This window comes from Homo sapiens, chromosome 4 (genome assembly GCF_000001405.40).
Source record: "Homo sapiens chromosome 4, GRCh38.p14 Primary Assembly".
In the NCBI taxonomy this organism is placed as follows: Eukaryota; Metazoa; Chordata; class Mammalia; order Primates; family Hominidae; genus Homo; species Homo sapiens.
Genome location: NC_000004.12, coordinates 130,546,607 through 130,564,388, shown reverse-complemented (window position 1 = coordinate 130,564,388; position 17,782 = coordinate 130,546,607). Strand labels below are relative to the sequence as shown.

The 17,782-nt window shown below is 34.8% G+C and overlaps 2 annotated features.

Annotated features, from left to right (window-relative positions):
* Window positions 501–795: an enhancer, noted in NCBI's record as "tiled region #6093; K562 Activating non-DNase unmatched - State 13:Ctcf". NCBI's record gives its function as "activates a minimal TATA promoter and a strong SV40 promoter by Sharpr-MPRA in K562 cells {active_cell/tissue: K562}" and the evidence as "EXISTENCE:reporter gene assay evidence [ECO:0000049][PMID:27701403]".
* Window positions 14,800–14,969: an enhancer, noted in NCBI's record as "experimental_74536 CRE fragment used in MPRA reporter constructs". NCBI's record gives its function as "activates a minimal promoter by MPRAs in K562 erythroleukemia cells, with activity observed for both the introgressed and non-introgressed 4:131470660 variant alleles {active_cell/tissue: K562}" and the evidence as "EXISTENCE:reporter gene assay evidence [ECO:0000049][PMID:34662402]".

Sequence of the window (17,782 nt, the reverse complement as noted above, 5' to 3'; positions counted from 1 at the left end):
AATTGTCTGTCATAGAGTATATAATGCCCTGATACAGAGACCCTCTACTGTCTCTGGCAATAAATCTCATGCCTTAATTTAAGAGAAGAATGGTTATGAAGATATAAGTCCTCCCAGATCCCTCCACTTTCTTTCTGTGTCCTGACAAAGAATCACAGTGTCATAACCACTCTGTGACCCAGCCAGCTGCAGGTTTTTTCAGCAGTCTTGAACATCTTCAAGCACTAACAAAGAAATCTAGGCTTAGTAGAGAGAAACTGGCCCCATCCCTGAGCCAAATTCCTTAAGCCCTCATGTAAACTCCATACTGTGACCCCCTTACTGTGGACATACCTAGGGAGAACATCCTTTTTCCCCCCGTCTGTCAGGAGCATTGCTGCAGCCACTCTCCACATAAGTGCTCTTAATAAATGCTTTGTTTGGACTGATCACCCTGGCATTTAGTGCTTCTTTCTTTGGAATCCCAACCTCCCCATCTCAGTTCTGTTTGGGACACTCCCTTGTGATAATTTCTCTGCCTCTGAGTTTCAGTTTTGTGCACTCCTGCTGCACAGTCTATGGGATGAAGCAATCGCGTGGGCAGCAGGATTCCAAGGAAATGGGCTGGGAAAATGAAACTGGCAGGGAGATCCAGCGATGGCCTCAGGAGTCTACGTGGGGCTCTGCTGCCCCCTTGCTTGTTGCTTGCAGACTGCCCCGGAGTGCTGAGATACCCCAAAAGCTCCAGAATCCAGCAGGCTTGTGTAGCCTGACAGAGGGTATAAAATTGCAAATGATCAGCAAGGAAGCCGGGTTCTTAGTGGTGGAGACAGACTGGCTCCTTTTGTGGGCAGCTACCCTGACAGCAGAGGCTCTGCTGGTGGCCAGTAATAAGGTGCACAAGTTAAAGGAGGAATTGCAACTAGGAAGTGGCATGCACTCCACAGCCCCTCCGTTGTTTATTTACAAGTCAGGAAAAATTGAAGGAAAATGGAAGGAAGAAAGAGGCTCTGCTGAGAGACATCCAAGGAGCCCACAGCCTCAGTCCTGGAGAGCTCTGGGTTGCTGCAGTGACAGCTTGGTCCCACCTGCTGGCGGTGAACAGAGGGGAAACAAGAAAAAGATAGAATATATTCACACTATCATTTTTCTGTGTGAGCTTTAATTATTATTTTTTAGTTTTAAATACTACAAAAACATAAATCCTTGCATTTTTAACTAACTGCAATGACTTTTTCAAAATACTTAGGCCAATGTTTAGCACACGGCTGGCAATAAGAAACTATTGATCCTCATGCTCCATTGTAGATCCTTTCTTCCTACTGAGTTTCTTTTTCAGGGTTCAGTCATGCTGTCACTCTTAAAGATAATCCTGGTGCCTGGATCTCTTTTGCCCTTCTGGCATTTCATTAAGGGAACACTGTCTTTCAGCAGGCCTCCTTCTCTATGCAATACTCACTTAAATAAAATATCTACCTGTTTCTCAACCTGGAGCTCCCTGATGCTGTCTGGCTGCCTCCAATTCTTATTCCTCTCTGCAAGAAACTTACCTAGTCTACTTCTTTCCTATGTAGTTGATCTCCACTCTTTGTTCTATGCCATCCCTGAACTATGCCATCCCACTGAAAATTTAGCTCTTGTTAGAATGTAAGCGAGAGGATATAAGGGTTATATTTTACTTAGATTATTTTGGTTCCCTGCAAAATTATATTTAATGATAATAATCCATATATTTATCAAGTAATTATAGGTTTATGAAATTATTTCCCTATTTAAATATTATTAAGATAAATGCATTTGCCTTTATCTTAATGCATTTATCTTATCCCACATTTAGTATTACAAAACCGTGAAGCTTAAAAGAATTTCATTGCTGAAAAGACATATTATTTCTTAAATATTTGATAAGGCCAATTTTTATTTTTCAGAAATGACATTTCTGGGCAGCTGCCTTTGTTTGCATTACTATAAAGAAATATCCAAGGTTGGGTAATTTATAAAGAAAATACGTTTATTTGGCTAAGGGTTCTGCAGGCTTTTCAAGAATCACAGCACCAGCGTCTGCTTCTGGTGAGGGCTTCAGGAAGCATCCACTCATGGCAGAAGGGGAACGGGAGCAGCTATCACACGGCAAGAGAGGAGGGAGGAGAAAGAGGCAAGAGGTGCCAGGTTTTTTAAACAACCAGTTCCATCGTGAACTAATAGAGTAAGAACTCACTCCTTATCATGAGGATGACACCAAGCCATTCATTAGGGCTCTCCCTCCATGGCCAAAATACCTCCCTTTAGGCTCCACCTCCAAGATTGAGGACCAAATTTCTTTTTCTTTTTTTCTTTACAACATTCCAAATGTATTAACTTAAATAACTGACTATATATCTGAAAGAAAACACATCAGAAAGTTAACAGTGATCACCTGTGAGTGCTGTGATTGTAGCCTACTTTTAATTAAAAAAATTCTTTTGTTTTGCAAACTTTCTACAATGAGCATTATCAATTTTACATTTAGGAAAATCTTTAATTTCTTTTTTTGTTTGTTTGTTTGAGACAGAGTCTTCTTCTGTCACCCAGGCTGGAATGCAATGGTGAAATCAGAGATCACTGCAGCCTTGACCTCCAGGGGCTCAAGTGATCCTCTCAGCTCAGCCTCCAGAGTAGCTGGGACTACAGGCTTGTGCCACCATGCCTGGCTAATTTTTTGTATTTTTTTTTTTTTGTGGAGTCAGAGTCTCACTTTGTTGCCCAGGCTAGGGGGACCAAATTTCAACATGAGATTTGGAGGGGAAAAATATCCAAACTATATCAGCAGTATGTTGTCTTATGAAGTAATGCTATTTATGATAAGTTACAATACATTCTCATTTAGCTATATTCAATGCAGTTTCTTGAAGGTTAACTTCCAAAAGAAGTGTCTCATCATTTAAAAAAGAAACTGCTAAAGTGCATAAAATGTTCATGGCAATTTCTGTATGAAGTCCATAGAATATTATGATCTTTACTTAAACATGTGTTGCTTAGCTACACAATTTTCAGTTTTGCTATCCATTTATAAAAAATATAATTTTGATTTTTAAAATTGGTTATGTTTGCATTTTACATATTTATTAACCTACTCATGTTCACCAAATTGCTTATCTGACAAGAAAAAGATTCAAATCAACTCCTAAGTCAGTAATTTCAGATTAATTAAGGTGGCAAAATTAGAATACAGAAGTACAAGTGTAAACAAAGAATTCATCTTAAACGTAAGGTATGTCGATTTGCATTTAGAATGGAAGACATGTTGATAATAATGCTTGCAACACAGTCTAAAAGGAATAATGAAATCTGGTGAACTAAACTAGGAGGGAAAACATGTCTGTTGATTGAAAAAGAAAACCTAAATATGAGAAAATAAAAATAGATAATCTGTATTTAAATTTGATTAAAAACACTTTTTTTCATATTTGTAGTTTTTCAAGAATAGGGTGAACATTTCAGAATAAAAATATCATACATTTCATGATGGCTTTAAGAATGCGTTTGAAATATTTGTGAAAGGTTTGATTCAGTTCAATTCTAAGACTATCTTAGCAATGGACAACTGATACATTTAAGAAGCTTGCTAGACTAATCTGTTATTAGAGATTGGTCTAGATGCTGTCTGAATTACAAATAGTAATGAAAACAATTGAAAGTCAGAAGACTATTCAGAAAACCAGTTCAGCAATCCAGGCATAGAATAATGAGTTAATAGGCAAGAAAGTGGCAGTGGGAATTGGAAAAAATTGATTGAGAAATATCCTGAAAAACAGCAAACTAAATGTCCTGATTGCTTACTTGGAGAAAAGAGAAGGAAAAAAGTCAACTTTATTTAGCAATGTCTAACTTGAGGATTTATAATGGTAGATAAACAGGGAAGTAAGATGAAACCATTTGTTTTGAGGCAAAGACATTTATTTGACTTAATACAGGGAGAATTTGAAATTACATATGGTCATTAACAAGAAAATGTCAAATAAGTAGAATGTGAAGATGAAACTCCAAGGAAACATTAGGGCAAGAATCAAACATTTTACAGCTACAATGTTAGTGTGATATTTAGCACTGTGAATGTAGATGGACTCTTTAAGGAAAAGAGCTAGAATTTCAATTAACAGAGGGATTAATGATAAGATTGTTTATGCCTCCATGTAAAAAAAATGGGAGCATAAGGTGCCAGAAAGTTTTGGGTTGAGTTAAAGCAGAACAATCAAACATGACAATTACAATGGGATGAGAAGGAAAAACATTAATAAAAAGGATATGAAGTCAGCAGTGTCCAATGTGCAGAAAGTTTAAGGAGAGATTTGGGAATGAGACTGTTAGGTTCATTCAAGAGAAGAGTTTCTAAAGAAAACTTACTCTAATTTAGAGAATGAGATTAGAGGTATGGAAATAGAGTTGGCCCTATATATCCCTGAGTTACACTTCCATGTATTCAACCAGTCTCAAATCAAACATACTCAGAAAACAAATCCCAGGAGGTTATGCAAAACTTGAATTCATAGCTCTCTGATTACTATGTCAAATCTACGCAATGATGTGTAAACACTGCATTAGTTATTATAAATAAATTAGAGATTATTTAAAGTATATGGGAGGAAATGTGCGGGTTATATGCAAATACTATGCCATTTTATTTAAGGGACTTGAGCATACGGAGATTTTGTTATCCACCGGGGACCCTGGAACAAATCCCCCATAGATCTCAAGAGACGACTGTAATATCTCGGCAGTAAACTTTTCAAAATTAATGCTCTTTTTATATAATACAGTTTTTATATACTTGGTCATGACTTTCAGTGGATTTTGAAATCAATTCGGTCTACCTCTAGGACCAGCATTTTCACAGTAAGAAATAGAATAAGAGCTACAAGATTATGATGCAATAGAATAGAAAGCATCAGAATAGGATTAAACATTGTGTTGACAGACTTGTGTTTCATTTGAGCATGTGCATGCATGTGTGCTTGTGAATACTGAGTCACAATGTTACATATATTTCATACATTGACCCTTTGACATAAATGTTGAACAGCAAATAATACATAAATATGTATAAAAACATTAAGGAGGGGCAGGAGTCTTGTTTAGCAGACAAAACTGAGAGATTTCCAAAAGGTAAAATACTTAACTAGGGAATATCACATAGAATGGAGGGAGGATTTAATCACATACATTGGCAGTTAGTACTGGAAAGCCAAGACACTGCTGTCCATACCCATTAGGAACAAAGATGTAAAATTGGGAACCTGTAAAATTTTTTATTAAATTTAACACCACCCACATGTTTCATATTTCGTTGTGTTTTTTGTTAAGATACTTTCTTCTTTATGTCAGTTTAAGGTTCACGGATAAATTGAAGATAAATCAGTTTCCATTTACCGCCTCATTTGTGCCCCACTCAAAGCTTCCTCTGTTATTAATTTTTAATTTTTGTAGGTACGTAGAAGATGTATATATTTATGGATTACATGAGATATTTTGATACAGGTATGCAATGTGTAATAATCACATGAAAATTCAAATAATCACATCAAAATATTCATCACCTCTAGCACCTATCTCTTGTGTTACAAACAGTCCAATTATACTTTTAGTTATTTTTAAATGTACAATTAAACTATTTTCACTATAGTCACCATGTCGTGCTAGCTAATACTAGGTCTTATTTATCCTTTCTAATTTTTTTGCATCCCTTCCCCATTTCCATTTCTCCTGACCTGCTCACTACCTTTCCTAGCCTCTGGTAACCATCATTCTACTCTCTAGCTCCTCCATGAGTTCAACTGTTTTAATTTTTAGCTCCCATAAATAAGTGAGAACATGCAAAATGTGTCTATCTGTGCCTGGCTTATTTCAATTAACATAACGACCTCCAGTTCCATCCATGTTGTTGCAAATGACAAGATCTCATTCTTTTTCACAGCTGAATAGTATTCCATTGTGTATATGCACCACACTTTCTTTATCCATTCGTCTGTTGATGGACACTTAGATTGCTTCCAAATCTTGGATATTGTGAATAGTGCTGCAGTAAACATGGGAGTACACATATTTCTTTGATATACTGATTTATTTTCTTTTGGGTATATACCAAGGGGTGGGATTGCTGGATTGCATAGTAGCTCTATTTTTAGATTCTGAGGAATCTCTAAACTGTTCTCCGTAATGGTTGTATTAATGTACATTCCCACAAACAGTGTACGAGTGTTCCCTTTTCTCCACATCCTCAACCAGTGTTTGTTATTTATTGTCTTTTGGATATAAGCCATTTTAACTAGGGTGAGATGATATCTCATTGCAGTTTTGATTTGCATTTCTCTGATGACCAGTGATGTTGAGCACCTTTTTATATACCTGTTTGCTACTTGTATGTCTTCTTTCGTGAAATAACTATTCACATCTTTTGACCATTTTTAATTGGGTTATTAGATTTTTTTCCTGTAGAGTTGTTTGAGCTTTTTATATATTCTGTTTATTATGGGTAGTTTGTAAGTATTTTCTTCCATTCTGTGGGTTGTCTCTTCACTTTTTTGATTGTTTCTTTTGCTGTGCAGAAGCTTTTTAACTTGATATGATCCCATCTATCCATTTGTGCTTTGGTTGCCTGTGCTTGTGGGTTATTACTCAATAAATCTTTTCTCAGTCCAATGTCTGGGAGAATTTCCCCACAGTTTTCTTTTAGTAGTTTCATAGTATGAGGTCTCATATTTAAGTTTTTAATTTAATTTGGTTTCATTTTTGTATATGGTGAGAGACAGAGGTCTAGTTTCATTCTTTTACAAATGAATATCCAGTTTTTCCAGCACCATTTATTGAATAGACTGTCCTTTCCCCAATGTATGTTTGTGGCACCTTTGTCAAAAATGAGTTTACAATACATGTATGTATATATTTATGGGTCCTCTATTCTATTCCACTGGTCCATGTGTCTTTTTATGCCAGTACTGTGCTATTTTGGTTACTATAACTCTATAGTATAATTTCAAGTCATATAACGTGATTCCTCCAGTTTTCTTCTTTTGCTTAGGATAGCTTTGGATGTTCTAGGTCTTTTGTGGTTCCACATAAATTTTAGAATTGTTTCTTCTATTTCTGTGAAGAGTATCACCAGTATTTTCATAAAGATTGCATTCAATCTGCAGATTGTTTTGGGTAGTAGAGACATTTTAACAATATTAATTCTTCCAATCCATGAACATGAATGTCTTTCCATTATTTCTGTGTCCTCTTCAATTTCTTGCATCAATACTTTGTAGTTTTCATTGTAGACATCTTCCCTTCTTGGTTAAGTTAATTGCCTAGTATTTTATTTCATTCGTAGCTGTTGTAGATGGGATTACTTTCTTGATTTCTTTTCCAATTTGCTTGCTATTGGCATATAGTAATGCTACTGATTTTTGTATATTGATTTTGTATCCTGCAACGTTACCAAATTTGTTTATTGGTTCTAATAGTATTTTGGTGAAGTCTTCAGGTTTTTCCAAATATAATATCTTATCATCTGCAAACAAGGATAATTTGACTTCTTCTTTTCCAATTTGGATACCCTTTATATCTTTCTCTTGTCTGAATTGCTTTAGCTAGGAATTCCAGTACTATGTTGAATAACAGTGGTGAAAGTGGGCATCCTTGCATTCCATATCTTAGAGGAAAGACTTTCAACCTTTCCTCATCCAATATGATAGCAGCTAAAAGTCTATCACATATGGCTTTTATTATGTTGACTGATGTTCTTTCATACCAAAATTTTTAATGTTTTTATCATGAAGTGATGCTGAATTCAAGCAAATGATTTTTCAACATCAATTGAAATGATCATATGGATATTGTCTTTCATTCTCTTGATACGATGCATCACATTGATTAATTTGTGTATGTTGAAATATCCTTGTATCCCTGTGATAAATCTCACTTGGTCATGATAAATGATCTTTTTAATGTATTGTTGAATTGTTTGCTAATATTTTGTTGAGGACTTTTGCATCAATATATTCATCAGTGATACTGGTCTCTATTTTTATTTTTTTCGATGTCTCTTTTTATATGGTTTTGGTATCAGGGTTATACTGGCCTTGTGGAATGAGTTTGGAAGTAATCCCTCCTCCTCTATTTTATATAATAATTTGAGTAGGATAGGCATTAGATCTTCTTTAAATGTTTGGTAGAATTAAGCAGTGAAGCCATTGGAACCTTGACTTTTTGTCTCTGAGAGATATTTTATTACAGCTTCAATCTCATTACTTGTTTTTGGTCTGTTCAGGTTTTGGATGTCTTCATGGATCAAAGTTAGTAGGTTGTATGTGTCTAGGAATTTAACCATTTCTTCTAGATTTTCCAATATATTGGCATATAATTGCTCAAATTAGCCACTAATAATCCTTTGAATTTATATCATATCAGTTGTAATGCCTCATTTTTTCATCTCTGATTTTAGTTTTTGGGTTTTAACTCTTCTGGCTAAAGGTTTGTCAATTTTATCTTTTCAAAAAACAACTTTTTATTTTATTAATAGTTTATATTGTTTTATTCATTTCAGTTTCATTTATCTCTGCACTAATTGTTATTATTTCTATTCTTCTACTAATTTTGGGTTTGTTTCAGTCTTGGTTTCCTAGTTCCTTAAGATGCATCATTAGTTTGTTTATTTAAAGTTTTTCTTATTTTTTGATGTACACACTCACTCATAGCTATAAGCTTTCCTCTTAGTACTGCTTTTGCTGTATCTGACAGGGTTTCATATATCAGGTTTCCATTATCATTTGTTTCAAGAAATTTTTTTAGTTTTATTAATTTTTTCATTGACTCACTGGTCATTCAGCGGCATATTTTTTAATTTTTATGTGTTGTATAGTTTCCAAAATTCATCTTGGTTGTTGATTTCTAGTTCTATTCCATTGTGGTGAGAGAAGATGCTTGAGAGTATTCAGTATTTTGAATATTTTGAGACTTATTTGGTGACCTAACATATGGTCTATCCTTGTGAATGATCCATTCTTCTCTAAGGAGAAGAATGCACATTCTACAGCCATTGGATGAAATATTCTGTAAATATTCACTAGGTCCATTTGGTCTATGGTGCAGATTAAGTCAGATGTTTCTTTGTTGATTTTCTCTCTGGAAGATCTATCCAATGCTAAAAGTTGGGTATTGAAGTCTCCAGCTATTATTGCATTGGGGTTTATACCTTTATTTAGCTGTAATAATATTTACTTTGCTATCTGGGCTCTCCAATGTTGGGTGCATATATAATTAAAATTGTTATATTATCTTGCTGAATTGATCCCTTTATCATTATATAATGACTTTCCTTGTTTATCCTACAGTTTTTGGCTTGAAATCTGTTTTGTCTGATTTAAGTATAGCTACTTTGGCTCTTTTTTGGTTTTCATTGGCACGAAATAGGAATATCTTTTTCCATTCCTTTATTTTTAATCTATGTGTTTCTTCATAGGTGAAGTATGTTTCTTGTAGGCAACAGATCATTAGATCTTGCCTTACCTATTCGGCCACTCTACGTCTTTTGATTGAAGCATTTAGTCAATTTACATTTAATGTTATTATTGATAAGTAAGAACTCACTCCTGCCACTTTGTTATTTGTTTTCTGGTAATTTTGTGGTCTTCTCTTACTTATTTCCTTTCTTCCTGTCTTCCTTTTAGTAAAGGTGATTTTATCCAGTGGTATGATTTAATTTCCTGCTTTATATTTTTTGTGTATATGTTGTATGTTTTTTGATTTGAGGTTACCATGGAGCTTGCAAATGCTATCTTATAACCCATTATTTTAAGCTGTTAACAACTTAACACTGCTTGCATAAACAAACTGACTAGCAAATAGAAAGCTAATACCAACTGTATACTTTAACTTCATCCTCCTGCTTTTTAGCATTTTGTTATTTCTATTTATATCTTATTGTACTGTCTATGTCTTGAAAAGTTGCAGTTACTACTTTTGATTGGTTCATCTTTTAGTCTTTCTACCTAGGCTAAAAGTAGTTTACATACCACCATTATAGTGTTATAATAATCTGTGTTTTTCTGCAAACTTGATTTCCAGTGAGTTTTATACCTTCACATAATGCGTTTTTTTCTTTTTTCTTTTTTCTTTTTTTTTTTTTTGAGATGGAGTCTAACTCTGTTTCCCAGCTTGGAGTGCAGTAGTGCAATCTAGGCTCACTGTAACCTCCATCTCCCAGGTTGAAGTGATTCTCATGTCTCAGCCTCCCAAGTAGCTGGGACTATAGGTGTGTGCCACCATACCTGGCTAATTTTTATATTTTCAGTGGAGATGGTGGTTCACCATGTCAGCCAGGCTGGTCTCAAACTTCTGACCTCAAGTGATCCACCTACCTTGGCTTCCCAAAGTGCTGGGATTACAGGTGTGAGCCACCACGCCTGGCCTTTCTTCACAGGATGTCCTATTGTTCATTAATAAACCGTTCTTTCTGATTGTAGTGCTCTCTTTAGCATTTCTTGTAGAACAGGTCTGGTGTTGATGTAATCCCACAGCTTTTTTTTTGTCTGGGAAAGTCTTTATTTCCCCTTCATGTTTGAGGAATATTTTAACCAGGTATACTCTTCTAGGTTAAAAGGTTTTTTTTCATTGAGCACATTAAATATGTTTTGACACTCTCTCCTGACCTGTAAAGTTTTCACTGAAAAATTTGCTGCCACATGTATTGGACATCCATTGTATATTATTTTTTTCTTTTCTCTTGCTGCTTTTAGGATCCTTTCCTTAACCTTGACCTTTGGGAGTTTGATTATTAAATGCCTTGAGGCAATCTTCTTTGGATTAAATCTGCTTTGTTTTCTGTAACCTTTTTGTACTTGGATATTGATATATTTATCTAGGCTTGGGAAGTTCTTTGTCATTATTCCTTTGAATAAATTTTCTACCCTTATCTTTTTCTCTACTTCTTCTTTAAAGCTAACAACTCTCAGATTTGCCCTTTGAGGCTGTTTTCTAGACCCTGTAGGCATGGTTCATTCTTTTTTAGTCTTTTCTATTTTGTGTCCTCTAACCATTTATTTTCAAACAGCCTGTCTTCTGCCGCTCAACATCTTTTGATTGGAATGTCTAGTACATTTATATTCAATGTCATTATGGTCTTTAGGCTATTTGAAAAAAAATAAATAAACAGTGAGTCTTCAAGCTCACTAATTCTCTCTTCTGCTTGATCAATTCTACTATTAAGAGACTCTGATGAGCTGGGCACAGTGGCTCATGCCTGTAATCCCAGCACTTTGGGAGGCCAAGGTGGGTGGATCATGACGTCAGGAGATCGAGACCATCCTGGCTGACACGGTGAAACCCTGTCTCTACTAAAAAATACAAAGAATTAGCTGGGCGTGATGGCATGCACCTGTAGTCCTAGCTACTCAGGAGGCTGAGGCAGGAGAATGGTGTGAACCTGGGAGGTGGAGCTTGCAGTGAGCCGAGATTGCGCCATTGCACTCCAGCCTGGGTGACAGAGCAAGACTCTGTCTCAAAAAAAAAAAAAAGAGACTCTGATGCATGTTTTACTCTGTCAATTGTGTTTTTCAACTCCAGAATTTCTACTTGGTTCTTTTTAATTATTTATCTGTTATTTTGCCAATACCACACTGTTTTGATTACTGTTGCTTTATAGTAAGTTTTAAAGTTGAGTAGTCTCAGTCTTCTGATGTCATTTTCTTTTAATGTTATTTTTGGCTGAGTTTTTTTGTCTTTACGTATAAATTTTGGAACTACTTTGTTAATATCCACAAAACAACTTAAATTTTTATTGAGCTTGCTTTGGTTCTATAGATGTTTCACTTATTTTACTTTCCACCAGTAAGTTTAATTAATTTCATGTCTTAATTTTCGATTTATTTTAGTAATTTAGCTTACGTATAGAAATACTATTATAAAGGCTTCTATCTTTCTAAGTAGATTGACATCAGGTTAGCATTAAGGTTTTGTGTAAGAAATATGTCATTTTTAGGAACTTCATTTAATTCTTGCAAAATCATTTGAAAGTTTTTTTTTCCCCCATAGGACTGACAGTTAATTTTCTATTTGGCATGACTATTATTTTCTTAGAAATAGCTGTCATGTAGCTATGGCAGACTGAATAACAGCCTCCCCACAAAAATGTTTATGTCCTAATCCCAATAACTTGTAAATACATTGCCACACATTGCAAAAAGGCTTTGAAGATGTGGTTAAGTGAAGGATTTTGAGATGGGGGTAGTATCCTTGGTTATCTAGCGGGGACCAATGCAATCACAAAGATCTTTATAAGACATATGTAGGAGGATCACATACATGACAGGTGATTTGATTATGGAAGCAGAGAAGTGAGGCAAAGAGAGGGATGAGCGAGAGAAAGAGAGAGAGAGAGAGAGAAGGAGAGAAGGGCAGAGGCAGAAGTCAGAAAAAAGAAAAGATGTTATGTATCTAGATTTGCAGTTGGAAAAAGAGGACTTGAGCCAGGGAATGCAGGTAGCATCTATAATCTGGAAAAGGCAAGGAAATAAATTAGACCATAAAGCCTTCTGAAGGACTGGGCCAGCTGACACCTTGATTTTAGCCCTCTCAAATGACTTATGTCAGAATTGTAAAATAATAAAATATGTTGTTTAAAAATCACTGCTTGTGCTAATTTGTTACAGCAGCAATGAACAACTAAAATTGCTGTCAATTGTATCTTTCAATATTTTTGTGCTTAAATTTTCTAAATGTATTATTTGTATTATGTTTTGTTAGTAAATTTTGAGAAAAAATAAGTGGTAGCAAAATTGAACCATCTCCCCCTTATGTGTGTGTATGTATACATTTATGTGTTGATATGCAGCTATACATACATACACAGATACATATATGCATGCGTATATATGTGTGAATACATATATTATGACTAGAAAAAGAAGTCTGCAATTTTATTTAGCCAAATATTGTCTTATTTGAATATGTTCTGTAACACAGCTTTCTACTTTATCATTTTTCAGTTATCTAAGAAAGTTCAGATATTACATGAAATATAATCAAATGTTTCCAGAATTCCCTTAAGCTTAGTTTATAAAAAACTTTAAATATAAATCTATGCTAAATCCAATATTCATTTCAATCTGGTGGTTCAGTTTAGTATTATATGTGCAAAGCATGTTTTAACAAGAAAGCTTAAATGTAAAAAAACGATATATTTCAGTATGAATTTGAATGAAAAGTGCTTCTTTCTCTAATTTCCTTAGATTTAAAAAATTACAGTAAAAGGCCGGCGTGGTAGCTAACACCTGTAATCCCAGCACTTTGGGAGGCCAAGGCTGGGGGATTACCTGAGGTCAGGATTTCGAGATCAGCCTGACCAACATGGAGAAACTCCATCTCTACTAAAAATACAAAAAAAAAAAAAATTAGCCAGGCATGGTGGCACATGCCTGTAATCCCAGCTACTTGGGAGGCTGAGGCAGGAGAATTGCTTGAACCCAGGAGGTGGAGGTTTGGTGAGCCGAGATCGTGCCATTGTACTCCAGCCTGGGCAACAAGAGCGAAACTCTGTCTCAAAAAAAAAAAAAGTAAGTAAATAAATAATAAATTACAATAAAAACATTCTGTGACATATTTGTAAAATTTAATAAAACCATTAAAAAGCAAATTATAGGAAACATGATACTTCTATTTATTGCATAAATTGGTCCATAATAAATACTAGATATAATTGATTTCAGTTTGTATTTTTTCTTTTTTATCAGGATTTAAAATTTGGAGAAAAAACACAAATACACATACACACAACACTAATATCTGTGCATATGTGTGTATGTATATATATAATATATTTTTTAATTAATGAGGAACTTTCATTTTCTTATTATAAATTGTCAGAAGTCATATTTGTCTGTTGATTTTAAGTTATCATTACATGATTTGATAGTAATTTATACAATGATATTACTTTAGGATACAGTTCCTCTGAAATATGATTTAGAAAAATAATATATATTAACCAGCTGTAACAAACATATACCCAACTTTATACAAATCTACAACTTAAACAAAAATAAAAAGAAAATTTTTTATTTTCTTATTTAACCGGCTTAGAATTCTTATACAATATAGAGTATATGATGATAGGTGTATTGTTGATCCCAAAGTGAAACTTAAAATATTTGCCAACTAAATATGTTATTTGCTGAGGGATTTTTTTTGTAGATAAACTTTATCACATTAAAGATGTTTTCTTACAAGAATGAATGCTTAGTTCATGGTCCAAATATTATTTTTGCTGCTGCGAGTGTTGTGGCTAATAGCTAAATCCTGAGATCTTCTCCAGAACATTGCATTTGGCTAAGGGAAGGTTGCTTGCATACAGAAATATGCAAGGTTATACTCCATTTGATAGCAGAAAACTCAATGATATAAAGATTCGAAGCCCAGCTATCTTGTTTCAAGAGAGAAAAATAATTTGGCTGTTTATATTCTAGATGCTACCTATGAATGACAATAAAGCTAATCTTTGACAGAAAACTCATCTTTGCTCTGTCCTTTCCCCAGCTTTTGTTCTCTCCTTTATAGTATTTCCTGGAAGAACAGGTTTTCAATAAAGCATATGCATATGAATTATGTATTAGAAACAAGTCTTAGAGATTCTTGTTTTTTCTAGGGTACTTACCTAAGATAACTCCTATTTCTCATTTGCTATGAATTCTCATCATGAATAGTTGGTGGATGTATGCACCTGATTCCTGGTGGTAATTATATTGCTTTCTTCCTTTAGAATAAATGAAACAATGTAGGATTGTGTTGATTGATTTTCAGATGTTAACCAACATTTCATTGCAGGAATTAGCCTAAGTTGATCATGATATATTATCTATTTTTTTTGTAGCTAGGCTTGTTTTGCTCATATTTTGTGAAGTATTTTTATATCTGTATTCATGAATGATATTGCCATGCAATTGTCTTTTATTTTAATAATCTTGTCTTATTTTAGTTCGTTTATATTGGTATAAAAATATGGTTCAGAATTCATGATCTACTTGTTAAAATATTTGAAAAACTTAATAATAATGTTGGCAAGGATTTTTTTTATTGTGGAACTTCAAAAAAAAAATTATGAGGCTGGCCACGGTGGCTCACACCTGTAGTCCCAGCACTTTGAGAGGCCAAGTCGAGCAGATCACTTGAGATCAGGAGTTCGAGACCAGCCTGGCCAACATGGCAAAACCCTGTCTCTATTTACAAATACAAAAAATTAGCTGGGCATGGTGGCACGTGCCTATAGTCCCAGCTACTTAGGAGGCTGAGGCCTGAGAATCACTTGAACCCAGGAGATGGAGGTTGTAGTGAGCTGAGATAATGCCACTGCACTCCAGCCTGGGTGACAGACTGAGACTCTGTCTCATAAATAAATAAATAAATAAATAAATCACAAAACCTGTTATTTTCATAGCTATAGGAATGTTTTAATTTTTTAATTTATTCTATCAGTTTTGGCAAATTATGTTTTTTTAAATATTCATTTTCTCTATTTAAATAGATTAGAATAAAGTTGTTGATAGCATATAACCTCTTTTTGTCCCTATGTAGACAGTATTTTAAGGTGTCCCCCAAGATTCCTCTCCCTGATGTACAGGTCACATATAGTTTTGTTGAGTGTGGATGGGAGAAGTAATATATCAAGAGAGGAGAATATGATGGCATATCACTACTATGATTAAGCTACTAGTCAGTTGACTTTGAATTAATTAAAATGAAGGTTATTCTGGGTGGGCCTGGACTATTATGAAAGGCATATTAAAAATGGTGAAGTGACAGAGATTTTCGATTACTGACATGGAAGAAAGAAAACTATCATGTTGTCTGGAGGGCCATTTGGCAGAGAATGGAGGATGGCCTGTAGGAGCTGAAGACCTCAGACTTACCAGAAGAAATTGATTTCTATCAACAACCAGTGAGCTCAGAAGAGCACCACAAGATTTGGGAGAAATCAGGCTTAAATTTCCTCCTGGTGAGACTGAGCAGAAATTCCAGTTAGTACCTGCTCAGATTTCTGACCTTCAGAACTATGAAATAATAGACTTGTGTTGTTAAAGTTGCTTAGTGTTTAGTAGCTTCTCAGCAGCAACAGAAAACTAAAACATTATCTGTTTCTTTCTTTCTCTTCCTTTCTTTTCTTTCTTTCTTTCTTTCTTTCTTTCTTTCTTTCTTTCTTTCTTTCTTTCTTTCTTCTTTCTTTCTTTTCTTCTTTCTTTCTTTTCTTCTTTCTTTCTTTTCTTCTTTCTTTCTCTTTCTTTCTTTTTTCTTTCTCTCTCTCTTTCTTTCTTTCTCTCTCTCTCTCTCTTTCTCTCTCTCTTTTGAGACAGGGTCTCACTCTGTCATCTAGTCTAGGGTGCAGCAGCAGCCTCGATCTTCCAGGCTCAAGTGATCCTCTCACCTCAATCTCCCACGTAGCTGTGACTGCAGGTGTAACAACCACACACTGCTATTTTTTCTTTTTTTGATTTTTAGTAGAGACAAGGTCTTGCTATGTTGCCCAGGTTGGTCTCAAAGTCCCGAGCTAAGGTAATTCTCCCATCTTGGGTCCACAAAGTGGTGGGATTACAGGCATGAGCTACCTTGCCTGGTCCTAATTTTTTAGTTCTTAATAGAAGTCTAGCCATAGCTAAAATTTGCAAGTTTTAATAGACCAGGTTTTATTATTTATATTTAGTTCAACATGTATTTAATCCCATTATGATTTCCTCTTTGATTACTAATCACTTAGAAACATGGAGGTACATTTTAAAAAGTACCCATTTATTACTGATTTCCAATGTAGTACTATTGTTCTCTGAAGTTGTTCTCTGTATGATTTCAATACTTCAAAGTTCACTGAGATTGGATACAGGGCCCAGAATATACTTTATATATGCTTGATAAGAAATGCATACTCTGCAGTTCTTGGAGACATTCTATGTCAGTTAAGTCAAATTTGTTAATTGTGTTGCTTAACTCTTCTCAATCTTCTCTGATAAATATTTTTCTACTAAAAGATGTGTGATAAAATCTTCCAGCATGATTTTAAAATTCTATTTCTCTTTTTAATCTGCAACCTTTTTTTTGTTGTTGTTGTTGTTGAGACTGAGTTTTGCTTTGCTGCCCAGGCTAGAGTGCGCTGGTGTGATCTCAGCTCACTACAACCTCCACCTCCTGGGTTCAAGCAATTCTCCTGCGTCAGCCTTCTGAGTAGTTGGGGTTACAGGTGTGTGCCACCACACCTGGCTGATTTTTGTATTTTTAGTAGAGATGGGGTTTCACCATGTTGACCAGGCTGATCCCAAACTCCTGACCTCAAGTGATCCATCTGCCTCAGCCTCCCAAAGTACTGGGATTACAGGTGTGAGCCATTGTGACTGGCCTTAATCTGCAAACTTTTAATATGTACATCAGTATACCCAGGTTATCATTCGTATTCACATATGTGAATACTTTTTCCTTTCAACTTTTTTTCATCCTTATATGTAAGGTGGATCTTTGATAAAGTACATATAATTTGTATGCTCTATAAATAAGTTTAATGACTTCAGTCATTTAAATGACATATGCAGTTTGTTTGCATTTAGTATAATCTCTGTCTTGTTTTTCAATGGTTCCATTGAGGCATCTTTTGATTATACCAACATGTGAAAAAAGACATCTATTAGCCTTGGTAAAGTATGAAATAAGAACTTTTTTTATCTTATCAACAAACATTGCCTGACCAATGTGTTTTACAAAGATAGTCTTCAGAGAGGAGATTGATCATTTTGGGTCTTTATAAAGACCCAAC